The sequence below is a fragment of the Homo sapiens genome, chromosome 17, assembly GCF_000001405.40.
Source record: "Homo sapiens chromosome 17, GRCh38.p14 Primary Assembly".
Lineage (NCBI taxonomy): Eukaryota > Metazoa > Chordata > Mammalia > Primates > Hominidae > Homo > Homo sapiens.
Window position 1 is genome coordinate 1,580,871 of NC_000017.11, and position 27,014 is coordinate 1,607,884.

Sequence of the window (27,014 nt, forward strand, 5' to 3'; positions counted from 1 at the left end):
GGGACTACAGGTGCACTCCACAACACCTGGCTAATTTTTATTTTTAGTAGAGACAGGGTGTCGCCATATTGCCCAGGCTGGTCCTAGTAAAGTTCTGTCGCTGTCTGTGGGAGGCCCCCTGCCCAGGAAGGCTGCTGCTGGCGGACTCCGCCAACTCCGAGAGGCACTTTTTAAGAGCCATCCTCTTGGCCACCAGGTCCCTGTGGTCGCCTTGTCTTCTGTACACAGCCCTGCCATCCCGCTCAGCAGCCAGGACCTGTTCCCAGGAATGTGGGTGGTGGGGGGGCAGGGGCTGCTCTTGGCAGTGTTGAAAGAGGGCTGTGCCCAGTGCCCACACACACACACACACACGCACGCTGTGCAGGCCTCCCCACCTCAAATGCCTTGTTGCCTTTTTACAACTTTTCTTTCAGTGAGACCTACATAAAACAAAAAGATGACTGTCCCCACTGAGCACTGCCCCTCGACTGGACAAGGCGGTTAGGGCAAAGGTCTGCCAGTCTTGCAGAGAAAGCAGCCCAGGAGGCCAGGGAGGGCCGGAGGGATGCAGCACCCCCTGGGGCCGGCACAAATGTTCCACGGCCCGCTGCGCTCTGCACGCCCAGTGTTGGCACGTACACACAACAGTTCCCACGGTGGGGCACACCTGGGTGTTCAACGTACCTCAAGGCCTCCTGTAAAAAGGGAGGGACTCTTACTTCCCTCCTGGACTTGACCCAAGATGCCATCTGGACTCAGGCTACACCTCTCTGGAAGGAAAAGCCACACTTGCGTCCCTCCACCATTTGTAAATTTAGGGATTGGGCCAAAACCTACTGCTAGACCACTTTCACAGACCAGTGGGTGGAGCCAGGCAGGTGACAAGGGCCACCTTACTCAAAATCTCTGTCAAAAATCAGGTTCCAGAAGCCTCAAAAGTTTGGCAAAGAAATTCAGTTTTTTTTTTTTTTTTTGAGACACAGCCTCACTCTGTCGCCCAGGCTGGAGTGCAGTGGCGCAATCTCGGCTCACTGCAACCTCTGCCACCCGGATTCAAGCAATTCTCCTGCCTCAGCCCTCCTGAGTAGCTGGGATTACAGGCATGTGCCACCACGCCCAGCTAATTTTTGTAATTTTAGTAGAGACGGGGTTTCACCATTTTGGATAGGCTAGTCTCAAACTCCTGACCTCGTGATCCACCTGCCTCAGCCTCCCAAAGTGTTTTGGTTTTTTTTGGTTTTTTTTTCTGAGACAGAGTCTCACTCTGTCATCCAGGCTGGAGTGCAGTGGCGCGATCTCAGTTCACTGCAACCTCCGCCTCCCAGGTTCAAATGATTCTCCTGCCTCAGCCTCCCGAGTAGCTGGGATTACAGGAGTGTGCCACCATGCCCAGCTAACTTTTATATTTTCTGTAGAGACAGGGTTTCACCAAGTCGCCCAGGCTGGTCTCAAACTCCTGAGCTCAAGCAATCCACCTGCCTCCACCTACCAAAGTGTTGAGATTACAGGCATGAGCCACCGGCCTGGAATGAAGCTTTTGAATCCAGATATGAAGCCACCATCAAGGTCTTCCTCCACTCTGTTCAGTGTAGAAACCCCGTGAGACTCTGGTGACAGGGGAGCAGATGCTCCCACCAACACCACAGATTGGCCAGATCTCTTTGGACGTCAGATTCCAGCTGCTTGAGCCGATACAAAACAAGGAACTCTACAGCGACCCCACACACTTCCGGGAAATGGCATGATGGTGGTATCCACGGTTATGCAAGACGCCCCCAAAACCAAGACATGCCTTCCGGGGAGGAGTCCCTTTGCAGAAGACAATCCAGGTGTCCAGCTCACCTGCAGCAGCAAGCACAGAGCCTGGCAGGGAACAGGCCCTCCGCAAATAACAAAGGGCTGGTGGGCTGCTCGGTTGAGTGGAATGAATGAAAGTCATCATCTGAGCTGGGCACGGTGCCTCACACCTGTAAAATCCCAGCACTTTGGGAGGCCAAGGCGGGTGGATCGCCTGAGGTCAGGAGTTCGAGACTAGCCTGGCCAACATGGCAAAACCCCATCTCTACTGAAAATACAAAAATTAGCTGGGCGTGATGGTGCGCACCTGTAATCCCAGCTACTCGGGAGGCTGAGGCAGGAGAATCGCTTGAACCCAGGAGGCTGAGGTTGCAGTGAGCCGAGATCACACCACTGCACTCCAGCCTGAGCAACAGAGTTTGACTCTGTCTCAAAAAAATAAAGAAAGTCATCCGCTTTGTTGATGGCTTCCATGAAACATTACACACTTTTGAGTCTTTACATGTTCCTTCTGACTGCCCCACCTCCCACCTGCCCCTCCCACTCCCCACACCCACCTGGAGAGGCAGGTTGGGAATGAGGCAGGTCACCCCAAAGCCCACGAGCAGCAGGTTGGTGAAGGCGAAGGCCCGCATGGCATTAGTGATCTTCTGGATCTGCCGGTCCCGCTTCTTCTTTTTCTTCTCGCCTCTGTGGAGACACAGAACGTGCAGGGGTGGGAGGGCTCCCCGGAGGAAGCCGGGTGCTCCTGAGAAGTCAGGCCTCAAGCGTCGCAGCAGGTAAACTGACGCAAGACTCAGAAGCCACCCAGGCACGTTTTAGGGACTGTGTCGGGGCTGGACCAGCACTACGGACACTCCCCGGCCCTTCTCAGTGGCAAGCTGAGTGTGACTCTCGGAGGGGGTCTCGGGTACAAGAAGATGGCCATCCATATGCTGCAGTGCTCTGTGAAGGCTGAGCTAAGACGACGGGGAGAGAAGTAGCAGCGTGTGCCTGAGCTGGCACATGGCAAAGCCTCACTTCACCACTGGCTTCAAGTTCACCCAAATCTTGCAGGACGCTGATAAGAAGCCAGATACAAGCCAAATAGGGGAGTGAATGGGTTTCCCCTTGTGGGGACAGGAGAGGGTAAAGGGGAAATGAGCAGGCAGCAGATGGAACTGGAGTGGACACAAATAACCTCTTGGCTGCAGGACCTGACCTAGATAGCACAGCACTGTTTTTTGTTTTGTTTTGTTTTGTTTTTTTGTTCTTTGGGTTTTTTTTTGAGATGGAGTCTCGCTCTGTCACCCGGGCTGGAGTGCAGTGGTGTGATCTCGGCTCATTGCCACCTCTGCCTCCTGGGTTCAAGCGATTCTCCTGCCTCAGCCTCCCGAGTAGCTGGGACTACAGGCACGCGCCACCTTACCCGGCTAATTTTTGCGTTTTTGTAGAGACAGGGTTTCACCATGTTAGCCAGGATGGTCTCGATCTTCTGACCTTGTGATCCACCCGCCTTGGCCTCCCAAAGTGCTGGGATTACAGGTGTGAGCCACCGCGCCCGGCCAAGCACCCTCTGCAATTATCTCTCGTGAATGAACGATTACCGATCCCAGTCTCACACCCACGCAGACACCCTGGATGATCCAAGAACGGACCCCAGGTGCTCACAGATGTGCAGGGAGTCCCAGGCCCACCACTTCCTAACTGTGCGGCCCTAGGCAAACTACTGCAAGTCCCAGCCTCAGCTCCCTCATCTGTAAAATGGGTATAACACTGGTCCCCACTTCGCCAGGGTGCTGGGAGTCTTCACTGAGATACTGTGCATGGAGTCCTCGGTGGAGGGCCTCAGGCAATAAACCGTAGCTTATTATATTAAGGTGTGGAGCCATGGAAAACAGCGTTTGGCTGGGCGTGGTGGCTTATGCCTGTAATCCCAGCACTCTGGGAGGCCGAGGCAAGCGGATCACAAGATCAGGAGATCAAGACCATCTTGTCTAACACTGTGAAACCCCTGTCTCTACTAAAAATATATATTAAAAAAATTAGCCGGGCGTGGTGGCGGGCGCCTGTAGTCCCAGATACTTGGAAGCCTGAGGCAGGAGAATGGTGTGAACCCGGGAGGCGGAGGTTGCAGTGAGCCGAGATAGAGCCACTGCACTCCAGCCTGGGCGACAGAGCGAGACTCCGTCTCAAAAAAAAAAAAGAAAAAGAAAAAAGAAAACAGCGTTTAACTCATCCTCTGATCTTGGAGCCCATCCCTTACATAAAGTAGGACTCCAGTACCTTGTTTAATCTTCACAATCATGAACAACTCTATTAACACATAATATGTTTATAGCAACTCACTACTCAAACTGACCGGAATAAACCTTGCAGGCAGATAACAAAGGGTTGGTGGGCTGCATGATTGAATGCAATGAATGAAAGTCACCATCTGAGCCGGGCGCGGTGCCTCATACCTGTTAATCCCAGTACTTTGGGAGGCTTTAAGATGGTGTAGCCACTGCCAAGGGGTGGAGGGAGGGTGGTCTTAGGAGCAAAATGGTCTGCTAGCCATTGTCTGTACACTTTCACCTGTGTCTCTTTTTCTTCCTTCTTACTCAATGCTTCTTCTTTATTGTTTTTTCTTTTTGAGACAGTCTTGCTCTGTTGCCCAGGCTGGAAGTGCAATGGCGTGATCTCGGCTCACTGCAACCTCCACCTCCCGGGTTCAAGCAATTCTCGCGCCTCAGCCTCCTGAGTAGCTGGGATTACAGGCGCGCGCCGCCACCGCACCTGGCTAATTTTTTGTATTTTTAGTAGAGACCGGGTTTTACCACATTGGCCAGGCTGGTCACTAACTCCTGGGCTCAAGCAATTCACTCACCTCAACCTTCCAAAGTGTTGGTATTATAGGCATGAACCACCCTCCCTGGCCAATTTTTAAATTTTTTGTAGAGACGGGGAGTGGGGGCTGGCCATGTTTCCCAGGCTGGTCTCCAACTCCTGGCCTCAAGTGATCTTCCTACCCCAGCCTTTCAAAGTGCTGGGATTACAGGCATGAGTCACCGCACCTGGCCTCAAACTTTAGCATTTCCATTGCATTCCAAACAATTTCCATAAAGAGGGGAGCAGTTGAAACGCATGCTGAGCTGAATGAGTGAGTCTCTCTAAGGGCTCCGGGAGCAGCTGGAGTGCATTGCTCTCTCCCTCTGTCCCACCCACCCTGTGCCTGACATGCAGCTCTGGGGTCTTTCTGCAGGGGCTGCGGGCTGGGAGCCGGGGCACCGGCCCTGCCTACGCACTGGTTGGCGTCTTTCTCCTCGGGCTCCTCGGAGGCGTCTTCACACTCCTTCAGCCTCCAGTCCATGATGTAGCCAATGACGGGGGCCGTCAGCAGGCACAGCAGCTGGAGCACGCCGAAGATGGAGGTGTAGAGGCCAACTGTGGAGGAAGGCGCTGCGTCATGGGGACGCCTGGCAGACAGCCCTGGAGCAGGGACTGGGCACCAGCTGGGAAGGGGCTGGTCCCCACAGGCTCTTCTGGGGTCTGCCCCAGAACCCCCTGTCACTATGGGTCTTGCGAGGAGCCCGGAGACCTTAACTCTGAAGTTGAGGATGGAGCACGGGGCAGGTCACCTTCTTCTCGGTTCCAAATCCCCTGCTTGTTTCTAAGAAACAGCTAATGAAACCCAGAGTGTCACAATGGCCTTCCCAGAGCTCCAGGAAGTCGCTATAACTTGGGAACTCCTGTGACGGAGGCTAAGTGACGGGCCGTTAGTTTCTGTCTCTAGAAATAGCCCAGAACGGCTGGGCGCGGTGGCTCATGCCTGTAATCCCAGCACTTTGGGAGCCCGAGGTGGGCGGATCACGAGGTCAGGAGTTCGAGACCAGACTGACCAACACAGTGAAACCCCGTCTCTACTAAAAATACAAAAACTAGCTGGGCGTGGTGGCAGGCACCTGTAACCCCAGCTACTCAGGAGGCTACAAGGAGAATCACTTGAACCCGGGAGGTGAAGGTTGCAGTGAGCCAAGATCATGCCTCTGCACTCCACCCTGGGCAACAGAGCAAGACTCCATCTCAAAAAAAAAAGAAATATCCCAGAAAGGCACCGCTCACGGGGCTCTGATGTCAGGGCTTCCATATTCAAAGACTTAAAATGACAGTGGATTTTCCAGGGAAGCAGACGAGGAATGTTGATTGCCCCAGTTTTACCCCCACGGCTCTAGCCAGGAGGCATGTCTGGAGCTTGAGGTGAGGAGCTTCTGGGTTGAACAGAGACTGGCTGGGAGGGGACATCACAGCATTCCCTGACAATCCCCCCCACCCCCCGCTTACCCGTGGCCATCACTGCATCAAGAAAGCAAAAGTGAAAAAGCAGAAAGAAGAGAGGTTAGTGGCAGAAATCTCAGTGCTACAGAGAGATGGGAGAGGAGGCAGGCTCACTCCATGCCCAGCACGCACTGCATTTCCCACACTGCGTTTCCCGCACTGCATTTCCCACTAAGCGTGACTCGGGGCGCTCAGGGGAGGCAGAGCTGCAGCCAGGCCTCTGGAAGTGGACTTGGGACAATGCCCAGCCCGGGCCCCTGCTGACATTCTCCTGTCTGCTGGTGCCGGGTCACAGGCGGACTGGTGAATCAGGCCTGTGACGTTGGCGGGTAGCGTGATGGGGAAGTGGCGGGCATGCGGAAGACCTGGTGCAATCAGGGTCCCTGTCACCACACTGCCTGCGGGAAGCGGCTCTGTCACATCTACCTCCTGCTGTGCTCAGAGAGAGGGAAAGGTCAAAGAACCTGCCCCTGATGCCCAGCCAAGGCATCTGACACCATGGGTCTCCTCCAGATGGCCAGAGCTGGTCTCCCTTCCACTCCAAGAAACGGGGACCATGCCTGGGCCTGCTCCCCTTCCTTGGGCCATGGCCCCCCTGCCACAGAGGCCTGGTGGCCCCTGAGCTGCTGCTCCGAGTGGAATGTCCTGGTCTAGAGGCCCTTGGCTGCTCCAGTGTCTTAAGACCCATATGTGAGTGCTGGCTCTGACCTTGAACAAGCTCCTCCATCACTCCAGGCCTCGTTTTTCAGGTGTATATGATGATAGTATCTATCATAAATGATGACGTAAACAGATGATAGTATCTATTTAACTCCTAGATTGTTATCAAGTCAAGGACAACAATAGGAAAACATGTCACCTGTCAACTCTTACAAAGGGAGGGTAGGACAGGTGGCCCCTGACTAGGGGGTGGGGGTGCAGGGGGCACCCGACCCATCTGGCCAGCCACAGCCTCTGTACCCTGCTCCCATTTTCAGGCCTCAATCCCCAAGCACTGTTGGCCCTGGACTGTTTTCCCCCCTTAATTCTGTTTCTCAATGCCTGCTTCTTCCCAGTAAGTGCCACACCCTGAGGGTGGGTGGGAGAGTGAGGCAGCAGTGCCCACTTTGGCTGGGACTGGGCACTGCTGAGGACAGCATGGGCCACGTCTTCCCCATCTCAAGACTGGCTTTTTGGCTGGGCATCGTGGCTCACGCCTGTAATCTCAGCACTTTGGGAGGCTGAGGCACGTGGATCACTTGAAGTCAGGAGTTGGAGACATGGTGAAACTCCGTCTCTACTAAAAATACAAAAATTAGCTGGGCATGGTGGCAGGTGCCTGTAACCCCAGCTACTTGGGAGGCTGAGGCAGAACAATCGCTTGAACCCGAGAGGCGGAGGTTGCAGTGAGCCGAGCTCATGCCACTGTGCTCCAGCCCGGGTGACAAGAGCGAAAATCCATGTCAAAAAAAAAAGACTGTATTTTTGGCTGGGCATTGTGGCTCATGCCTATAATCTCAGCACTTTGGGAGGCTGAGGTGGGAGAACTGCTTGAGCCCAGGAGTTTGAGACCAGCCTGGGAAAAATAGCAAGACCTTGTCTTTATGGAAAAAAAAAAAAAACAAATTAGCCAGGCATGGTGGCACACACCTGTAGTCCCAGATACTTAGGAGGCCGAGGTGGGAGGATCCCTTGAGCTCAGGAGTCGGAGGCCGTGGTGAGCTATCAGTTGCACCACTGCACTCCAGCCTGGGTGGCAGAGCAAGACCCCAACTCAAAAAAAAAAAAAAAAAAAAAAAGGCGGCCTTTTCCCAGCTGCCAGCACCCTGGCTAGTTAGGGTTTCCCTGAATCCGCAACTCCTGTTTGATGGCGGGTCTCAAACGCTGGGAGGCAGCAGAGTCACCGGTCAGCGGCAAGGCCTGGAGTCTCCATTCGGAACCAGCACCCGGGAGCCTCTGCCGCGGGTGGTCGCGGGGCCGTACGCGGAGGCGATGGCTCTGGTGCTTTGAGCCGTTCCTCAGCAGCACGGCACACCCCCTCCTGCGGAGCCGCAAAGCTCACGAGTGTGCGGAAAGTGACCCGGACCCTGCAGCTGCCTCTCGGCCGGAGCTAGGGCTATGGGTGTTGGGTGTAACGGGTCACAGAAGGAGGAGGGGGAAAACCAGTGCCTCGTCTGCCACAGACCAACCTTCCTGGCCTGGCTTCCTCTACTTCTTGAAATTGACTTTTTGAACATACGAAACAGTTGGAAACATTCCTCCTGGGCAGCAAAAGATTTCTCAGACAGCTTGAGTAAAAGACGCTGACTCAGCAGCAGGGAGATGAGCCTTTCGAGGGCCAGGGACCAGCTCTCTCTGCACACTTTGGGGTTTCCGCCACTCCAGGGCTGAATGTTTATCAGGCTGGGTGTGGAGGTTTACGCCTGTAATCCCAGCACTTTGGGAGGCCAAGAGGGGAGGATCCCTTGAGCCCAGGAGTTCGACACCAACCTGGGCAACACAGCAAGACCCTATCTCTGCAAAGAATTTAAAAATTAGCTGGGTGTGGTGGCGCGCACCTGGGGAGCCCTAAGAGGTCAAGGCTGCAGCGTTCACATCACTGCACTCCAGCCTAAGCAACGCAGAAAGAGACCCTGCCTCAAAAAAACAAGAAAGAAAGAGACATGATAGATTAGGGTTCCCCAAAGTGTGTTCCACAGATATTTTTTTTTCTTTTGAGATGGAGTCGCACTCTGTCGCCCAGGCTGGAGTGCAGTGGCGCAATCTCGGCTCACTGCAACCTCCACCTCCTGGGTTCAAGCAATTCTCTGCTTCAGCCTTCCAAGTAGCAGGGATTACAGGGGCCCACCACCACGCCTGGCTAATTTTTTGTATTTTTAGTAGAGATGGGGGTTTCACAATCTTGGCCAGGCTGGTCTTGAACTCCTGACCTCATGATCCACCTGCCTCAGCCTCCAAAAGGGCTAGGATTACAGGCGTGAGCCACCGTGCCTGGCCTAGACTACCATTTTCACAGTAGAACTGGCTGTTATCTGGTTCCCTTTGCTATCTTTTCCTTTTGATAAAGCTGGATTTCTCATCCCCTAAAAACCTGATAACTGATTCTTCACAAGTCCTAGGGTATCTTCACCTTGATAAAAACAAGGAAACCATCGGAAAAAGTGGCACACCAGGGAGGCTGCCAATAAAAAGGATTTGGAGTGTTTGTCCCGCCTGGGGATGACTAAGGCTGACTCAGCTCAGGCCCCGGGGAAGTCCTGACTTTCTCTGTAGAATCAAAACCTCTAATCAGCTGAAGACCTGCCCTGTTTGGAAAAGTGGACTGTGGGTTATCAGCTGTGTTTGTTGGAGCTGACAAGCCTCAACTGTTCGCAAGCTCCGAGGAAGTCTCTGCCCTGCCCTGTTTCTCGGTGAGGGATGCAGATCCCAGTGTGGGCCAGTTGCCCCAGCGTCTCCAGCCCCGTCCTGACCTCGATGCCCAGGGTGTCCACGCACCCACCGTGCCACTTTCTGGGAGGACTTTGGGCTTGACCTGCTGTCTTTCAGCCATGCTCAGGTGGAGCGTTCTGTTCTGTTTTCATTTACAGACACACACGGCAACCCTCCCCCTCAGGCACTGGAAAACACACACCCCACACCCCACACCCAGGAGGCTATTTTGGTCCTTCCCTCCCTCCTGGACCAGGAAACCCTGATGGGGACACGAAGAAACAGTTGGGGCTGGCAGTGATGCAATAGCTCTGACGGGCAGACAGCTCCTGGGATGCGGCCTTTCCATGGCCCGGCTGGCCCGGCTCAGCTTAACACATTCTGGCCGGTGGCCAGTGGGCTGGGCTCAGGCCGGGGAGTGACAGCGACCGAGGCTGCCCGGGGCACCTACCTGTCTTCTGGTCGCCGCTGACCAGGAACTTGAGGATGTTGTTCATAGCCCCCATGTAGAAGATGAGCCGCAGCTGCGTGACGCACATGGTGACCAGGCTGAGCAGCAGGATGGGGCTGAACACGCTGTGCATGAAGGAGGGGGCCACTGCAGGGAGAGGGTGCGGGGCTCAGGGCCGGGGCACACTGTCCCCACCACCGGGGGGACACGCAGATCCCTCCACGCTGGAGGCCAGGAGGGGGCCCTCGGGACGGGCCTGGTGAGGGTAACGGGGTTGGCGCTGCGGTGGGGTCACCTCTTGGGTGAAATCAGGCAAATCCCTTTCCCTCCCCCAGGCCTTCCTGAGCGCCTCTGCAGAACAGGGCGGGCGGGGCCGCCTCCCCTTTTGGGGTGAGGTGGGAATGGGGTGAGCCGATACCCACAGAGCACTCCCTGCCCGTCGCCCGGCTGCGGTCTCAGGCGGGTACCTGCGGCATCCGGCTGGCACTTCACCTCCAGGTCGACGGTGGACAGGCACAGCTTGTGGCCCTCCTGCAGCGCCACCTGCTCCTTGGCACTCCTCATGGAGCTGCCCACACTCAGGCGCCGGCCCACCGTGGTCACCTGCTTGTAGAACTGCTTCCCTGTGATCTTGTGGTCAAAGCCCAGCCAGCTGAACTTGATCTTCACCCTGGGGCCCCGGGAGAGTGTCTGTGGGTGCTGCCCGGGACCCCGGCTGGGGGGCGGGGGCTGGGGGCAGGCGGGACGGGGGCACCTCTACTTACGAGTAGTCCATGTCCTCCGGCCCCGGGAAGGGCTCAAGGGGCCAGTTAAAGAAGCAGTTGAGGAAAACCAGCCCGGAGCAGCCGGCCCAGACCACGAGGACGACGATGAAGGAGACACCAGCATCATAGATGAGCTGACAGGCACCGCGGGGACGGGGTGGGGGGGGGAGGGGGCAGAGTTAGCCCGGGGAGGCCAGAGCCGCAGCAGGCAGGGGCGTCTGGCCACCCCTGCTGTCCCTGTGCTGAGCCGCGCAAAGAGGCACAGCCCTGCCAGCCTGGGCGTTGGGGCATCAGGCACCCGCCTTCCAGTCCTCCCACCGTGCCTGCCCTGCTGGTCATCTGGGCCTGGCGTGTGATTAGCCCCCCGACTCGGAGGCCTTCCTGACCGCCCCGCCATGACCACGGCACGTCTTGCAGGCTCATAGTGATCGGCCCAGCAGAGGGGACGGTGCTCCTGGTCCGTCGGCTTGTCTGGTATTAGCGGAGCTCCCTGAAGGCGGGAACCGGCCAGCCCCGTCCACTGATGCTTCCCCAGTGCCTCTGAGAGCTCACATGGCAGAGGCCAAAGAAATGCTCAAGGAAGCCAGGCATGGTGGCTCACGCCTGTAATCCCAGCACTTTGGGAGGCCAAAGTGGGCGGATCATGAGGTCAGGAGTTCCAGGCCAGCCTGACCAACATGGTGAAACCCCATCTCTACTAAAAATACAAAAATTAGCCGGGCATGGTGGCGGGCACCTGTAATCCTAGCTCCTTGGGAGGCTGAGGCAGGAGAATCACTTGAACCTGGGAGGTGGAGGTTGCAGTGAGCCGAGATCGTGCTGCTGCACTCCAACCTGGGCGACAGAGCAAGACCCTGTTCCCCCCCAAAAAAAGGAGGAGGAAGAACTTTCGGGATGCTCCCCAGTCCAGGGGCATGAGAATCTCTGCAAGTCCATAGGATGGCTGGCCCCAGAGTCCCAGCTCCCACCACTTCAATGCCCAGGTGGCCAGCCCACACCGTGTCCCCCTCTCCTCGCCAACAGCATTCCCACACACACCACCGAGGAAAGGGGCTTTTACTTAGTGTGAGGGTCAGAGGTGGGAGAAGCCCCTACGGGGCCCTGGCAGACCCACAGGGTCTGGGGAACTTGGGCTGATGGACTGTGAGGTGTTTGCTTCGTCCTGACCCTGTGTGACTTCCACAGGCTCAAAATCCTGCCTAGGAGGGAAACAGCTGAAACACTTGGCCAAGAGCAGTGCTTTGGCTGGCGGGGAGTAACGGTACAATAACAGCAGGCTGGGGGTTGGGGAGCAGGGGAGCAGCGGGAGACCAGGATGACGGAGGAGACGGGGGCAAGACTCACAACTGGAAACAGACTCACCCACCGCCCTTCCCCTGCCCCAGCCCCGAAATGCAAAGGCACCTGCGGCAGATCCTGCAGCCACATGCGTGATTCCCGTCCCCTGAGGCCCCGCGGTTTTCATTTGTCGCCCCTGTGATGCCCAGGTGCATCCTGCCCGGGTGGGGGTGGTGGAGAGGGGCCACCCCGGGTGCCCACAATTGCCTCCCTCTTCAGAGAGGGTGGAAGGAGCCTGGAGCAGGCCTCTGCACAGACACCAGTGCAAAATACACGTGCTCACCTTGATTCCTGGAAAGGTGACTGCCGAGGAGGCGTAGGACCCAATCATCAAGGCAATAAACGTGGACCGAAGGTCGCCGAACATGTTGGGCAGCTGAGAGATAAGAAGCAGAGAAACCTCAGTGGGGAGGATGCACCAGGGAAGGGGAGGAGGAGGGGACAGAGAACTAGGCCCCATGAGGCCCCTTCTTCACCTGCGCCCCTTCCTGTGTGACTCACAGGGGCATTAGTTCAGGGGCAATGACCGCTCACTGAAGGTTTCTCCTTCATGGACTGAGGCTGATGGGGCCAAGGAGGGAGGTAATGCAGAATACAAGCAGTTGTCTGACTTTCCGGCTGGCAACCCTCCCTATCTCTCTGCTCCTGGCAGAGCCCAGGAGCCTTCTTGTCTTTTCAGGGTAACACTGAGATGCCAGAGAACAAAGTTATGAGCCTCAGGCAGCCCTCAAAGGGAGAAAGCCTGTTAAAAATAAGAATCTATTTGGGGATAATAGCATCATTTTATAAATAAAAATATCAGCATTCCAGAAAGACCAGATGTCAGCAAAAACTGCTTTTGGTTTGGAGAGGGTAGGTTTTTGGAAGATGTCAATCAGAATTCTACAGTTCTCTTCGGTCTGAGGATGAAGCTGGCCCAGGATTCCTGCTTCTGAATTTCTTTTCTTTGTTTTGAGATGGGGTTTTGCTCTTGTTCCCCAGGCTGGAGCGCAGTGGTGTGAGCTCGGCTCGTTGCAACCTCCGCCTCCCTGGTTCAAGTGATTCTCCTGCCTCAGCCTCCCAAGTCGCGAGATTAGAGATGCCCGCCACCATGCCTGGCTAATTTTTGTATTTTTAGTAGAGACGGGGTTTCACCATGTTGGCCAGGCTGATCTCAAGTGATCCGCCCGCCTCGGCCTCCCAAAGTGCTGGGACTACAGGCGTGAGCCACCGCGCCCGGCCTCCTGCTTCTGAATTTCTCAGTACAAGCAGGGGATTATCTTCCCACAGGATGTTCGGCCCGAGCAGTTAGCATCCTGGAAGGCCAACGGGAAGCAAGGTCCGGGCTCTCTTCCCAACGAAGCCACTCTCGGCATCTCACATCAGCTCATTCTGGGTACAGGGCAAGAGGGGGCCCACCTGAACAGGACTTCAAGGCTAACTCTTGCTCATTCTACCGAAATCCAGGCCTAGGGCAAACTACATCCTCCCAAAGAGGCACAGGTTCTCTAACCTCAAGAGACATCACACTGTGTGTAGCAAACCTTTCCTGTCCACACCCAGCGTCCCTGGCCTTGGGGGCTGCCCTCTGGATAGCCATGCCAACCTATTTCATTAAATTCAGGCTGCTTATGGGGACTTAATCTATGTCCCCTCCACCCTCCCCACCACTCCCCATTTGTCTTGAATCTTTTTCTTTCTTTCTTTCTTTTTTTTTTTTTTTGAGACGGAGTCTCGCTCTTTCGCCCAGGCTGTACTGCAGTGGCTCTATCTCGGCTCACTGCAAGCTCCGCCTCCCAGGTTCACGCCATTCTCCTGCCTCAGCCTCCCGTGTAGCTGGGACTATAGGCGCCCGCCACCACACCCGGCTAATTTTTTTGTATTTTCAGTAGAGACGGGGTTTCACCACGTTAGCCAGGATGGTCTGGATCTCCTGACCTCGTGATCCGCCCGCCTTGGCCTCCCAAAGTGCTGGGATTACAGGCGTGAGCCACCGCGCCCAACCTTTTTTTCTTGTTTTAAGAGACAGGATCTGCTGGACGCAGTGGCTCACGCCTGCAATCCCAGAGTGCTGCCTTTGACCTCAGAGTTTAAGACCAGCCTGGACAACATGGCGAAACCCTGCCTCTGTATCTTTTTAAAGTTAAAAAAAAGAGAGAGAGACAAGGGGGGCAGATCACCTGAGGTCAGGAATTCGAGATCAGCCTGGCAAACATGGCGAAACCCTGTCTCTACTAAAAATACAAAAATTAGCCGGATGTGGTGGCAGGCGCCTATAATCCCAGCTACTTGGGAGGCTGAGGCAGGAAAATGGCTTGAACCCGGGAGGCGGAGCTTGCAGTGAGCCGACACTGCGCCACTGCACTCCAGCCTGGGTGACAGAGCGAGACTCTGTGTCAAAAAAAAAAAAAGAGAGAGAGAGACAGGGTCTCATTCTGTTGCCCAGGTGGGAGTGCAGTAATGCAATCATAGCTCACTGCAGCCTCCAACTTGGCTCAAGTGATCTTCCCCCCCCAGCTCCCAAGTCACTGGGACAACAGGCCCACGCCACCATGCCCCAGCTAGTGGTTTTTTTTTTGGAGGCAGGGTATCGCTCTGTCACCCAGGCTGGAATGCACTGACATGCAATCTTGGCTCTCTGCAACCTCCACCTCCCAAGTTCAAGCGAGTCTCCTGCCTCAGCGTCCTGTGTGGCTGGGACCACAGGTGTGCACCACCATGCCCGGCTAATTTTTGTATTGTTAGTAGAGATAGGGTTTCACCATGCTGCCAGGCTGGTCTTGAACTCCTGACCTCAAGCGATCCATCTATCTTGGCCTCCCAAAGTGCTGGGATTACAGGCATCAGCCATCACGCCCGGCCTTTAATTATTTTTGTAGAGATGGGGTCTCACTATATTGCCCAGGCTAGACTTGAACTCCTGGCCTCAAGCTCTTCTCCCACCTTGGCCTCCCAAAATAAATAATTTTTGTTTTATCAAACCTGCCTGCCTGCAAGCAAATTAACTGTTACTGAGCGGAGGGAGTTTGAACTTGGCGACATACCTGTCTGCAGTCACTGCTGCCTGTTTTGCCCACTTTTAAAAATGAGTAAGGGATGTCAGCAAAATTTAAAACCTCTGTGCTTCAAAGGATGGCATCAAGAAAGTGAAAAGAGAGCCGGGCGCGGTGGCTCACACCTGTCATCCCCGCACTTTGGGAGGCCGAGGCAGGCAGATCACGAGGTCAGCAGTTCAACACCAGCCTGGCCAACATGGGGAAACCCTATCTCTACTAAAAATACAAAAAATTAGCCGGGCGTGGTGGTGGACGCCTGTAATCCCAGCTACTCGGGAGGCTGAGACAGGAGAATCCCTTGAACCGGGAGATGGAGGTTGCAGTGAGCTGACATTGATCCACTGCACTCTAGCCTGGGCAAGAGTGCGAGACTCCATCTCAAAAAAAAAAGAAAGTGAAAACAGGCTGGGAGTGGTGGCTCGTGCCTGTCATCCCAGCACTTTGGAAGGCTGGGGCAGCGGGATTACTTGAGGGCAGGAGTTCAAGAAAGTGAAAAGAATGCACAGAATGGGAGAAACTTCTTACAAATCACAGATCAAGAGCTTGCATCTAGAATATATAAACATAGTGCCCAACAGTTATTCAAAAAACAAAAAATAGAACATATAAAGAACCCCTACATCTCAATAATAAAAAGATAAATAACCAATTTTTTTTTTTAGATGGAGTCTCGCTCTGTCTCCCAGGCTGGAGTGCAGTGGTGCGATCTCGGCCCACTCCAACCTCTGTCTCCTGGGTTCATGCCATTCTCCCACCTCAGCCTCCCGAGCGGCACCTCCCATTGCAGGTATGTGCCACCACGCCCAGCTATTTTTTGAAATAACCAATTTTTTAAATGGGCAAAGGATCTGAATAGACATTTCTCCAAAGAAGATATACAAATGGCCAATAAGCATATGGAAAGATGCTCAACATCATTAATCATAGTGAAATTCAAATCAAAGCCACAATGAGATACCACTTGATACCCATTAGGACACCAAAAAGTCACAGTGAGGCCAGGCGCGGTGGCTCACGCCTGTCATCCCAGCACTTTGGGAGGCCGAAGCGGGCGGATCACGAGGTCAGGAGTTCCAGACCAGCCTAGGGAACATAGTGAGACCCCGTCTCTACCAAAAATACAAAAACTTAGCGAGGTATGGTGGAACATGCCTGTAATCCCAGCTACTCGGGAGGCTGAGGCAGGAGAATCACTTGAACCCAGGCGGGGGTTGCAGTGAGCCGAGATCGTGCCACTGCACTCCAGCCTGCGCAACAGAGCAAGACTACGTTTTAAAAAAAAGAGGCTGGGCACGGTGGCTCACGCCTGTAATCCCAGCACTTTGGGAGGCCGAGGTGGGCAGATCACAAGATCAGGAGTTCAAGACCAGCCTGGCGAACATGGTGAAACCCCGTCCCTGCTAAAAAAATGCAAAAATTAGCCAGGCATGGTGACGTGCACCTGTAATCCCAGCTACTTGGGAGGCTGAGGCAGGAGAATTGCTTGAACCCGGGTGGTGGAGGTTGCAGTGAGCCAAGATTGTGCCACTGCACTCCAGCCTGGGCGACAGAGCAAGACTCAAAAAAAAAAAAGAAATGAGGCCGGGCGAGGTGGCTCACGCCTGTAATCCCAGCACTTTGGGAGGCCAAGGTGGGCGGATCACCTGAGGTCAGGAGTTCGAGACCAGCCTGGCCAAAATGGTGAAACCCCATCTCTACAAAAATGCAAAAATTAGCTGGGCATAATGGCGGGCACCTGTAATCCCAGCTACTCAGGAGGCTGAGACAGGAGAATCACTTGAACTTGGGAGGCAGAGCTTGCAGTGAGTCAAGATATCGCCACTGCCCTCCACCCTGGGCGACAGAGTGAGACTCCGTCTCAAAAAGAAAAAAAAAAGAAAAAAGAAAAAGAAAAGAAAAGAAATCCCTTCCAACAGAAGACAAAAGAAATGTGATGTGCTCACACGTGCCCAGGCACGCCCAGGTGAGCAATCTTACTCTCTGGGTACCTGCCTCCCAGGTAGGTTGCAGTTCAAAGGACAAGCCTCGGTTCCCAAGCTCACATATTTGGGCTGCTCCATTACTGCACTGTAGCAAAGGCATCTCCGTGGCCATATCTACCCCAGTGAGAATGCAAATATTTGTTCTGCTTATGCGGAAGGAGGGAAGTGTTCCTGCCCGGCATGCCAGCACAGCCGGCGCAAAGAAAGAAAGAAAGAAAGGGGCCAGGCGCGGTGGCTCACGCCTGTAATCCCAACGCTTTGGGAGGCCGAGGCAGGTGGACCATGAGGTCAGGAGCTTGAGACCAGCTTGGCCAACACAGTGAAACCTTGTCTCTACTAGAAATACAAAAATTAGCTGGGCGTGGTGGTGGGTGCCTGTAGTCCCAGCTACTGGGGAAGAGGCTGAGGCAGAATTGCTTGAATCCAGGAGGCAGAGGTTGCAGTGAGCCGAGATCATGCCACTGCACTCCAGCCTGGGTGACAGAACGAGACTCTGTCTCAAAAAAAAAAAAAAGGGAGGCCCAGAGAAGGCTTGGAACCCAACCAGAAGGGCAAATGGAAGCCCAGAGCCTGGCTCCCTTGGTGCAGGGTCAGGTGAGGCTAACATGTAGGTTGCTGCAGTCACCTTTGGGTAAAAAGAGTGTCTCAAACTTTTCAACAGAGCTAGAGAATGTTCCGGAAAAGCAGAGAGCTTGCTAGCTAGGCATTTTCCTTCTACCTTTTTAATCTCAAGCCTGCCTGCCTTAACCCTAACCTAGGCTACAGACCAACAGAGCCACAGGGCCCTGGGGTGACCATGTGGCCCTGCCTGGTCTTCTGGAGTCTTCTCCCCAGCACTAGATCCAGGATGGGGAAGAGCAGAACCTGGGGAAGAGGCCGACTCTCCATCTGTCCATGGATGAGGCCTTGCCCTCAGGCCTGGACAGGGCAGGGGCCTCCCAGCTGCTCCCTTTGATGCCCTGCCTCTTGCCGCCTGGAACATTCTTACCAGCACCAAGAAAATTCTTCCCAACATGTTATTCTGGTCAGCAGGGCCATTCCTTAGGGAGTAGAGTGCCTCAGGGGAACCACACTAGGTAGCCTTCAAACCAACACTGACATCTTGTATTTTTAATTATGATCTTTTCCTTAGAACGGCAATGCCTGGGCTGGGCGCGGTGGCTCACGCCTGTAATCGCAACACTTTGGGAGGCTGAGGTGGGCGGATCACGAGATCGAGACCATCCTGGCCAACATGGTGAAACCCCATCTCTATTAAAAATACCAAAAATTAGCCGGGTGTGGCGGCGTGCACCTGTAGTCCCAGGTACTTGGGAGGCTGAAGCAGGAGGATTGCTTGAACCCAGGGGGCAGAGGTTGCAATGAGCCAAGATCATGCCACTGCACTCCAGCCTGGCGACAGAGTGAGACTCTGTCTCAAAAAAAGAAAAGAAAAGCATATCCATTGCAAAATGTTTGGAGCAAAGTATAAAAAGAATAAGGTAAAAATCACCCTGAGGCCAGACGCAGTGGCTCACATCTATAATCCCAGCACTTTAGGAGGCTGAGGCAGGTGGATCACTTGAGGCCAGCAGTTCAAGACCAGCCTGGCCAACATGGTGAAACCCTGTCTCTACCAAAAATAAAGAAAATTAGCTGGGCGTGGTGGCAGGCACCTGTAGTCCCAGCTACTTGGGAGGCTGAAGCAGCAGAATCGCTTGAACTTGGGAGATAGAGGTTGCAGTGAGCAGAGACTGAGCCACTGCACTCCAGCCTGGGCAACACAGTTAGACTCCGTCTCAAAAAAACAAAAAACTTTTACTAATGACTTTCAACATTTTTCTACAACTTAAAAAATTATTTGGCCAGGCGCGGTGGCTCACGCCTGTAATCCCAGCACTTTGGGAAGCTGAGGCGGGTGGATCATGAGGTCAGGAGATCGAGACCATCCTCGCTAACACAGTGAAACCCCGTCTCTACTAAAAATACAAAAAATTAGCTGGGCGTGGTGGCGGGCGCCTGTAGTCCCAGCTACTCGGGAGGCTGAGACGGGAGAATGGCGTGAACCTGGGAGGCAGAGCTTGCAGTGAGCTGAGATTGCGCCACTGCACTCCAGCCTGGGTGACAGAGCAAGACTCCGTCTCAAAAAAAAAAAAATCATTTATATTTGTCCTTTTTTTCTATGGGGATGTTAATCTTTCTTTTTTTTTTTTACAGTAAGCTATATATTAATTGAATATATATATATATATATTTTTTTTTTTTTTTTGAGACGGAGTCTGGCTCTGTCACCCAGGCTGGAGTGCAGTAGTGCTATCTCGGCTCACTGCAACCTCCACCTCCCGGGTCCAAGCAATTCTCCTGCCTCAGCCTCCCGAGTAGCCAGGGTTACAGGTGCCTGCCACGACGCCTGGCTAATTTTTGTATTTTTAGTAGAGACGGGGTTTAGCCATGTTGGCCAGGCTGGTCTCAAACTCTTGACCTCAAGTGATCCGCCCGCCTCAGCCTCCCAAAATGCTGGGATTACAGGTATGAGCCACCGCGCCCTTCCAATATTTCATTTAACATAATTTCAAAGTAGGTCTGTGCTCTAAGGTGAGCAAAAGAAGAGACATTCTAAATCTCATAAGAGATTTTTTTTTCTTTCCTCTTTTTTTTTTTTTTTTTTTTTGGAGACATGGTCTCGCTCTGTCATCCAGGCTGGAGTGCAATGGTACGATTCTGGCTCACTGCAACCTCTGCCTCCCAGGTTCAAATGATTCTCCTGCCTCAGCCTCCCGAGCAGCTGGGATGGATTATAGCCACCTGCTATGACATCCAGGTAATTTTTGTATTTTTAGTAGAGACAGGGTTTCACCATGTTGGTCAGGCTGGTCTCAAACTCCTGACCTCAAGCGATCTGCCCACCTCAGCCTCTCAAAGTGTTGGGATGACAGGCGTGAACCATTGCGCCCAGACTTTTTTTTTTTTTTCCACACTGTTCCTCTGAGTGAGGAATCAGGTTTCAGGACCCTCAATGTTGACAACTAACATTTTACCCTTGAGATTTTACCTAGAGATACCGAAAGAAAAGATAACATCTGAATACAAGAATCGCGTTGCATATTTGCTGCCTCCATAGGGTTGTTGTGGTAGCGACTGATTTTCCACCCCTCCCAGTTTGGTGGTGTTTGTTTGTTTGTTTGTTTGTTTGTTTTAAGTAAAATGTCAGAAATGCAAAAATGCTGCATTTATTTCCCTTAAGACATTGAAAATAGTGGAAGTTTGCAGATTTTTAATTCTTCGTAGGTCTGAGCTGGCACTAGACTGCTACCAAAGGGGTCTGTTCCACACGCTAATTTCAGGCTTGCGGACCATCAGCAAACTGCAATGAAACCTGTGGGCATGAATCTTCCAGAGTGGTAGAATCTCATTCCCATATGCCCGCCAAGTTTCCAGGTGTAGCTGGGAAAACCCAAATGTTCCCTGGATCCCGAGATGGCTAATAAGCACTCAGGCCTGCTACACCACCGAACAGAGCCCCACAGCCAGAGAGGCACACGGCCTGCTTCACACAGCCGACAACCCCGCTGGAAACAACCAGTGCTGGGAGCCAAGGCCAAACTGATGCAAAGGCGCTACTGAGCCAGAGCCCTTCTGCACCGAGACTACCCCAGGCATGCACCGCCCTCCCAAAGGTCCAAAACGATGCAAAGGCGCTACTGAGCCAGAGTCGTGCACTGAGACTACCCCAGGCATGCACCGCCCTCCCGAAGGTCCAAACCAATGCAAAGGCGCTACTGAGCCAGAGTCCTGCATTGAGACTACCCCAGACATGTACTGCCCTCCCGAAGGTCCAAACCAATGCAAAGGTGCTATTGAGCCAGAGTCCTGCACTGAGACTACCCCAGGCGTGTACCACCCTCCGGAAGGTCCAAACCGATGCAAAGCCACTATTGAGCCAGAGTCCTTCTGCACCGCCCTCCCGAAGGTCCAAACTGATGCAAAGGTGCTACTGAGCCAGAGTCCTTCTGCACCGAGACTACCCCAGGCATGCACTGCCTTCCCGAAGGTCCCAACCAATGCAAAGGCACTATTGAGCCAGAGTCCTGCACTGAGACTACCCCAGACGTGTACCGCCCTCCCGAAGGTCCAAACCAATGCAAAGGCGCTATTGAGCCAGAGTCCTGCACTGTGACTACCCCAGGTGTGCGCCGCCCTCCTGAAGGTGCGTGTGGGTCGACAAGGGTGCACAAGCGGCAGGGGGCTGCATAGCAAGGTCTCCTTCAGCTTTGTTTTAATTATTTTTATAGAGACAGGGTCTCACTCTATTGCCCAGGCTGGTCTTGAACTCCTGGATTCCAGCGATCCTTCCACCTTGGCTTCCCAAACTGCAATGATTACAGGCATGAGCCACTGCACCCGGCCAATCTTTGTATATTGATTTTGTGAAGGCTCTTTATGTATTAAAGACATTCATTCACAGGCCGGGCACGGTGGCTCACACCTGTAATCCCAGCACTTTCAGAGGCCGAGGCAAGCGGATCACCTGAGGTCAGGGGTTTGAGACCAGCCTGGCCAACATAGTGAAACCTCGTCTTTACTAAAAATACAAAAATTAGCCGGACATGGTGGCAGGCACCTGTAATCCTAGCTACTTGGGAAGCTGAGGCAGAAAAATCGCTTGAACCCCAGAGGCAGAGGTTGCAATGAGCCGAGATTGTGCCACTGCACTCCAGCCTGGGCGACAGAGCGAGACTCTTGTCTCAAAAATTAATAAAAATAAAATAAAATGAAGACATTCACAGTTCTATATACTATGAATAAATTTTCCTAGTTTGTCATTTAACTTCTTAATTCATGGTGTTTTGTTTTTTCAGTTTTTTTTTTTTTTTTTGAGATGGAGTTTCGCTCTTATTGCCCAGGCTGGAGTGCAATGGTGCAATCTCGGCTCACCGCAACCTCCACCTCCCGGGTTCATGCGATTCTCCTGCCTCAGCCTCCCAAGTAGCTGGGATTACAGGCACCCGCCACCACACCCGGCTAATTTTTGTATTTTTAGTAGAGACAGGGTTTCACCATGTTGGCCAGGCTGGTCTCGAACTCCTGACCTCAGGTGATCCACCCGCCTCAGCCTCCCAAAGTGCTGGGATTACAGGCGTGAGCCACTGCGCCCGGCCGAGGGTTTTAAAGATCATAAATAGGGTAGGTATTAACAATAGTTACTATTATGATATGTGTTATGACTTCATAACAGGGAAAATCTTCTGGTCAAGCTGCTCCTGGGCATAGCCAACGAGGGAAGTGTCCTCTGGCAGGAACCACAGCTCTGGGAGGAAGAAAAGGAAGCCGACTACAGGATAAAACACAAATTAGTATTCCCCTTTAAATAAATAATTAGTGTCCACAGAGATGGCCTTTCTTCTCCTGTCCTTGTTATTCTGTTGTGACCACACATTGACTGCTGTCAGGATGTTTATGCTTTGGGTTTCACTGGTCAAGGTCATCCTTCATGTTCTCTTCAGAGAGGTTTCATTTGACACAAATGCTAGGTACTCCCTAAAAGCTGAAACACACTTTTGACCACCTATTTAAAAACTTTTATTGGTCAAAAAACACCATGAGGCCGGGCGCGGTGGCTCACACCTGTAATCCCAGCACTTTGGGAGGCCGAGGCAGGGGATCACCTGAGGTCAGGAGTTCGAGACCAGCCTGGCCAATACGGTGAAACCCCATCTCTACTAAAAATACAAAAAATTAGCCAGGCGTGGTGGCGTGCACCTGTAATCCCAGCTACTCGGCAGGCTGAGGCAGGAGAATCGCTTGAACCCAGGAGGCAGAGGTGGCAGTGAGTTGAGATCGCGCCATTGCACTCCAGTCTGGGCAACAAGAGTGAAACTCTGCCTCAAAAAACAAAACAAAACAAAACAAAACAAAAACTTAAAGATTAGAAAAGTCAAGGGACTCCCCCAAGCTAGTAATGGTCAGATTGGGGATTCAAGCCAGGCCAAGCCTCTGTGTGTAGGCCCCAGGCCACGCTGCCTCTCTGGAGTCTCCTGTGGCTCCGGCCAATACACACTTCAGTTTGGATCCCACGGCTTTTACATGTGCCTTATTAAGATCCAATCTGCGCCCTTCAACTAGAGGTTTATTTTTCATTCATTTACTTATTTATTTTTTGAGACAGAGCCTCACTCTGTCGCCAAGGCTACAGTGCAGCAGCACAATCTCAGCTCACTTCAAGCTCCACCTCCCTGGTTCAAGCGATTCTCCTGCCTCAGCCTCCCGAGTAGCTGGGATTACAGGCATGTGCCACTACGCCACGATGCCCAGCTAATTTTTTTTTTGTATTTTGAGTAGAGATGGAGTTTCGCCATGTTGGCCAGGCTGGTCTCGAACTCCTGACTTCAGGTGATCCATCCGCCTCGGCCTCCCAAAGTGCTGGGATGACAGGCGTGAGCCACCGCGCCCGGTCATTTTTTTAAATTTGTTTTTGGAGATGAGGTCATGCTGTATTGCCCAGGCTGGAGCGCAGTGGCTATTCACAGGCATGATCCCTCTACTGATCAGCAGGACACTTTTGACCTGCTCTGTTTCTGACCTGGGCCGGTTCAGCCCTCCTTAGGCAACCTGGGGGTCCCTCACCCCCCGGAGGTCACCACACTGATGCTGAACTTAGTGTAGACATCTCATCAACACAGCACGCTATTGTGCAGAACTCCTGGGCTCAACTCATCTGCCCACCTCAGCCTCCTGAGCAGCTGAGACTACAGGGGGATACCACAATGCCCAGTCCCCAACTAGAGATGGCTTACATTCCTTCTGAAGCTCCTTTTAGACCCATCTGCCCCCTGCCCTCACCTCCTGCTGTTGCCTTCGGCTGACCTCCCCATGGTCCAGCGCCACAGCATCGGATGGGCTTGCATTTGCCTGTGGACTCCCGTAGGTCATCCTGACATCTGGGTCACTCCCCACATTCCCCCTCTCGCTCACTCCGTCCCCAGCTTCCCTGCCTCCACCGGTCTCAGCTGCGCATAATGGCTGTTCGAAGCCGCGGTGCCGGAGTGAGGGCTGAGCGCTGAGCAGAGCGCCCTAGCGCGGGCCTCGAGGGCTGGCGGAGGGGAAGGACCCCAGGAGGGGAAGGACCAGCTTTGCTGCCAAGCAGGAAGCCGGAGCTGTTTCCTGACTCACCACCACACTCACAGGTGGGAGTGCAAGCCCCTCTTCCCGCCCTCAGGTGCTTCCCACAGCCCCCTCGCCGCCTCTGCCTCCGTGCGGGTCAACCTGTCCTGCCAGCCCGGGCTGTTCACTCACTGCCTCCACGCAGCCTCAGTCACACAGGGAAGCCCGTGACTCTCTCTCTTTCAGCCCCCTGGCTGCAGCATAAACAGGCCGGACTGTGTGACCTTCCCAGAGGGGAAAACAGCAGCTGCAGGCGGCCCCTCCCCTGGCATTCTGGCCATAGAGCATGACCACCGGACAGGAGTGCCTGCAGGGCCAAGGCCCTGGGACAGTGCGGGCGCGGGAGCTTCTCTAAGATGCCGGACGTACGTGCCTTTTGGCCCAGGGCAGGCCATGGCATTGCTGGCAGGCAGAAACAAGGGGCAACCGTGGCACCCCCGGCCCTGACTTTCCACATCCACGGACTCCCGAGTCCTCCCTGGCCTGCAGGAGGCTGGGGAGCTGGGTGGTGGGTGGGGGCTGCGGAGCTGGGAGGTGGGTGGGGGCTGGGGAGCTGGGTGGTGGGTGGGGGCTGGCATTCTGGCCCTCGGGTCCCCTCCAGAGGGAGCCTTGTCCCCAAGTGGCTGGAGTACACACCCAGAGTTCTGTACAACCTGCACAGGCCGGGATCCCGGAACCAGACTGCACAGGTAGACTCTGCCAGGCTGGGCTGTTTCCTACCCACAACAACCGGGCACCTCCAAGCACATGCTGCCCGGGACAAGGTCCTTGTGGTCACCTTTCTGCTTCAGTGCTGAAGGGAGGGGAAGGGTGTGCTCCCCTCCCCCGGCCACCTCCTGTGCCTTCCCGGCCGGGTCCAGTCCTGCCAATACCGCTGCCCTTTCCGTCTGAACGTGGTCACATACTGCAGCAAATTCATGAGGCAGAACCCTCAGATGGCAAATTCTCCCCAAACCAATGGCAAGTAGCTGACTGCCTGAGCTTCCCCAAGGTACAGGACAGAAAGAGAGGAAGGTGGGGAGGCACAGCAGGCACTGGGCACTGGCAAGTCCCGCTCACCAGGCACCTAGACCCTCCAGAGCTGGCCGGGGGCCACCGCGGGACCCTCTCCTGGACCCTCCAGAGCTGGCCGGGGGCCACCGTGGGACCCTCTCCTGGCTGCAGACGCGGGGTCTACTGAGCCACGGCACTAAACTCCTGTCCCCTCTCTGGGGGCATCTGCCATCCTGCCCTCCTCTCCAGGATCTGAAGAGGGATGTTTATCCTCTTCACTTCCCTCAGATCCCACCTCCCATGAAATCATGCCTTCCTCAGGTTTAAAGTCAGACTTGAAGGAATCAAAAGGGAAAATCCACAGAGAAATGTCTCATCGGGGAGCCTGGCAACATTTTGAAACCCGCTTTTCTGTGTGGCTTCTGCTGAGAAATCCCCATCCCACCCACGGGGACAGGGGTCAGAGTAATGGAGTGGAAATGGCAGGTTCACAATTTTGGCTACAGCTGCTCCCATCTCTAAGCAACCCAGGCTCCGGGTTGGAGGGTGGCGACCCCAAGATGCGGCCTCAGCCGCCGGCCGTGTTTGTGCTCCAGCCGATGAAGCGAGTGCAAAGGGCTGTACAAACGCGAGGCACTGAACAAACACTGAGCGTGCCGTCCAGATGTCCCGGGGGAGGCTGAGGATCCACACCGTGGGGAGTGCTCTGCCCCCATGGAGTGACCTGGCGTCCGCCCTCCACGGATGGCACGCGATGGCCCAGGCCCTGTGCTGCAGGGCCCTGGGAGAGCCAGCACTGGCTACTGGGCAGCCTACCTGACGCGACAGCCACCCTTGCCCCTCGGAGCCTCCACTTGGGAGGGAAATACCACCATGGGTGCCGACCTCTTGGGCTCTGGAAGGATGGCTCATGGCCATCTCCTTCTGGACTACAAGGAAAAGGCGTGTGCCCGCTTGGAGCCCCCTCTCCTACCAGTGGGGGTAACAGCTCGCAGCCCCTGGTCATCTGTATTTAGACCACAGCCCATGCAGCACAAAGGCCCCGGGACCCAGGAAGTCCCCGAATTAAGGCTTCCACAGCGCCGTCCCCTAGAGTCCTGGGTTATCACAGAGCTATTATCCACAGCCCCAACATGGTTGTTGAAGATTGGAGTTAGAAATTCCTAAAGGCGACCCTGGAGACTCCTTTGTCCCCCAAATTAGAACACGGGTGGGAGACACAAACAGAAAGTGCCATTGTGCCCTGAGCTTGGCGTCTCTGGGAGCTGATCCCGACAGTTCTGCTTTCTGAAGTCCTGGGTTGTATCAGAATGAGATTCGGCTCTGCTCAGCAGAAGCCCCAGTCAGCCCAAGAGTGTTGCTTAACTGCTTCAGCCCTGTCCTCACTGACCTCATTTCCCTTTTGGGGTCTGTTCTCAAGGAGCAGGCACTGGAGCCCTCATCAGAGGCCTCAGGGGGCAGGGGAATGCCCATGGAACTCCCTCCACCCTGGGGGGAGGCAGAAAGAGATGACTTAGAAGGAGAGCTGGCCCATGCAACCAGAGGGTGTGGGTGTGAATGGTGGGTGTCAGCACATGCCCTCAGACGAGGAACAGTGACGTAGCAGCTTCCTGGGGCCTCTGGACCAAGGGTTGGCAAACTTTTTCCATAAAGGGCCAGACAATAGACTTTTTTTTTTTTGAGTCAGAGTCTCGCTCTGTCACCCATGCTGGAGTGCAGTGGCACAATCTCAGCTCACTGCAACCTCTGCCTCCCGGGTTCAAGCAATTCTCCTGCCTCAGCCTCCTGAGTCGTGGGGACTACAGGCGCCCACCACCACATCTGGCTAATT

General features: G+C 54.3%; 1 protein-coding gene and 1 pseudogene across 8 annotated transcripts in view, besides 11 other annotated features; both read right to left on the bottom strand.

Annotated features, from left to right (window-relative positions):
* The window catches only part of SLC43A2 (solute carrier family 43 member 2), a 60,835-nt gene that overhangs the window by 11,617 nt on the left and 22,204 nt on the right, over positions 1-27,014 (bottom strand). For 3 of the 8 annotated variants that reach the window (NM_001321364.2, NM_001321365.2, NM_001284498.2), the window contains exons 6-12: positions 12,317-12,409; positions 10,696-10,829; positions 10,399-10,601; positions 9,932-10,078; positions 6,079-6,090; positions 5,043-5,181; positions 2,334-2,466 (exon numbers count right to left, since the gene is read on the bottom strand). In NM_001321364.2, coding sequence (NP_001308293.1) covers positions 2,334-2,466; positions 5,043-5,181; positions 6,079-6,090; positions 9,932-10,078; positions 10,399-10,601; positions 10,696-10,829; positions 12,317-12,409 — 861 coding nt within the window. Of the gene's footprint in view, positions 1-2,333; positions 2,467-5,042; positions 5,182-6,078; positions 6,091-9,931; positions 10,079-10,398; positions 10,602-10,695; positions 10,830-12,316; positions 12,410-23,869; positions 24,165-27,014 lie in introns of those variants that run through there. The other 5 variants (XM_017024179.3, XM_047435331.1, NM_152346.3 and 2 more) reach the window with 3 other exon arrangements.
* Positions 4,211-4,758: an enhancer, noted in NCBI's record as "OCT4-NANOG-H3K27ac-H3K4me1 hESC enhancer chr17:1488375-1488922 (GRCh37/hg19 assembly coordinates)". NCBI's record gives its function as "activates a minimal SCP1, AML or CMV promoter by ChIP-STARR-seq in naive H9 embryonic stem cells {active_cell/tissue: H9 hESC(naive)}" and the evidence as "EXISTENCE:reporter gene assay evidence [ECO:0000049][PMID:30033119]".
* Positions 4,759-5,304: an enhancer, noted in NCBI's record as "OCT4-NANOG-H3K27ac-H3K4me1 hESC enhancer chr17:1488923-1489468 (GRCh37/hg19 assembly coordinates)". NCBI's record gives its function as "activates a minimal SCP1, AML or CMV promoter by ChIP-STARR-seq in naive H9 embryonic stem cells {active_cell/tissue: H9 hESC(naive)}" and the evidence as "EXISTENCE:reporter gene assay evidence [ECO:0000049][PMID:30033119]".
* Positions 5,305-5,851: an enhancer, noted in NCBI's record as "H3K27ac-H3K4me1 hESC enhancer chr17:1489469-1490015 (GRCh37/hg19 assembly coordinates)". NCBI's record gives its function as "activates a minimal SCP1, AML or CMV promoter by ChIP-STARR-seq in primed H9 embryonic stem cells {active_cell/tissue: H9 hESC(primed)}" and the evidence as "EXISTENCE:reporter gene assay evidence [ECO:0000049][PMID:30033119]".
* Positions 5,852-6,397: an enhancer, noted in NCBI's record as "H3K27ac-H3K4me1 hESC enhancer chr17:1490016-1490561 (GRCh37/hg19 assembly coordinates)". NCBI's record gives its function as "activates a minimal SCP1, AML or CMV promoter by ChIP-STARR-seq in naive and primed H9 embryonic stem cells {active_cell/tissue: H9 hESC(naive and primed)}" and the evidence as "EXISTENCE:reporter gene assay evidence [ECO:0000049][PMID:30033119]".
* Positions 6,398-6,944: an enhancer, noted in NCBI's record as "H3K27ac-H3K4me1 hESC enhancer chr17:1490562-1491108 (GRCh37/hg19 assembly coordinates)". NCBI's record gives its function as "activates a minimal SCP1, AML or CMV promoter by ChIP-STARR-seq in naive H9 embryonic stem cells {active_cell/tissue: H9 hESC(naive)}" and the evidence as "EXISTENCE:reporter gene assay evidence [ECO:0000049][PMID:30033119]".
* Positions 6,945-7,491: an enhancer, noted in NCBI's record as "H3K27ac-H3K4me1 hESC enhancer chr17:1491109-1491655 (GRCh37/hg19 assembly coordinates)". NCBI's record gives its function as "activates a minimal SCP1, AML or CMV promoter by ChIP-STARR-seq in naive H9 embryonic stem cells {active_cell/tissue: H9 hESC(naive)}" and the evidence as "EXISTENCE:reporter gene assay evidence [ECO:0000049][PMID:30033119]".
* Positions 9,133-9,678: an enhancer, noted in NCBI's record as "H3K27ac-H3K4me1 hESC enhancer chr17:1493297-1493842 (GRCh37/hg19 assembly coordinates)". NCBI's record gives its function as "activates a minimal SCP1, AML or CMV promoter by ChIP-STARR-seq in naive H9 embryonic stem cells {active_cell/tissue: H9 hESC(naive)}" and the evidence as "EXISTENCE:reporter gene assay evidence [ECO:0000049][PMID:30033119]".
* Positions 9,679-10,224: an enhancer, noted in NCBI's record as "H3K27ac-H3K4me1 hESC enhancer chr17:1493843-1494388 (GRCh37/hg19 assembly coordinates)". NCBI's record gives its function as "activates a minimal SCP1, AML or CMV promoter by ChIP-STARR-seq in naive H9 embryonic stem cells {active_cell/tissue: H9 hESC(naive)}" and the evidence as "EXISTENCE:reporter gene assay evidence [ECO:0000049][PMID:30033119]".
* Positions 10,992-11,157: a silencer, noted in NCBI's record as "fragment chr17:1495156-1495321 (GRCh37/hg19 assembly coordinates)". NCBI's record gives its function as "represses an EF-1alpha promoter that drives an FKBP-Casp9 reporter gene in an ReSE screen in HepG2 liver carcinoma cells {active_cell/tissue: HepG2}" and the evidence as "EXISTENCE:reporter gene assay evidence [ECO:0000049][PMID:32094911]".
* Positions 12,765-13,266: an enhancer, noted in NCBI's record as "H3K4me1 hESC enhancer chr17:1496929-1497430 (GRCh37/hg19 assembly coordinates)". NCBI's record gives its function as "activates a minimal SCP1, AML or CMV promoter by ChIP-STARR-seq in naive H9 embryonic stem cells {active_cell/tissue: H9 hESC(naive)}" and the evidence as "EXISTENCE:reporter gene assay evidence [ECO:0000049][PMID:30033119]".
* On the bottom strand, positions 23,504-23,802 carry RN7SL105P (RNA, 7SL, cytoplasmic 105, pseudogene; annotated as a pseudogene).
* Positions 25,673-26,438: an enhancer, noted in NCBI's record as "H3K4me1 hESC enhancer chr17:1509837-1510602 (GRCh37/hg19 assembly coordinates)". NCBI's record gives its function as "activates a minimal SCP1, AML or CMV promoter by ChIP-STARR-seq in naive H9 embryonic stem cells {active_cell/tissue: H9 hESC(naive)}" and the evidence as "EXISTENCE:reporter gene assay evidence [ECO:0000049][PMID:30033119]".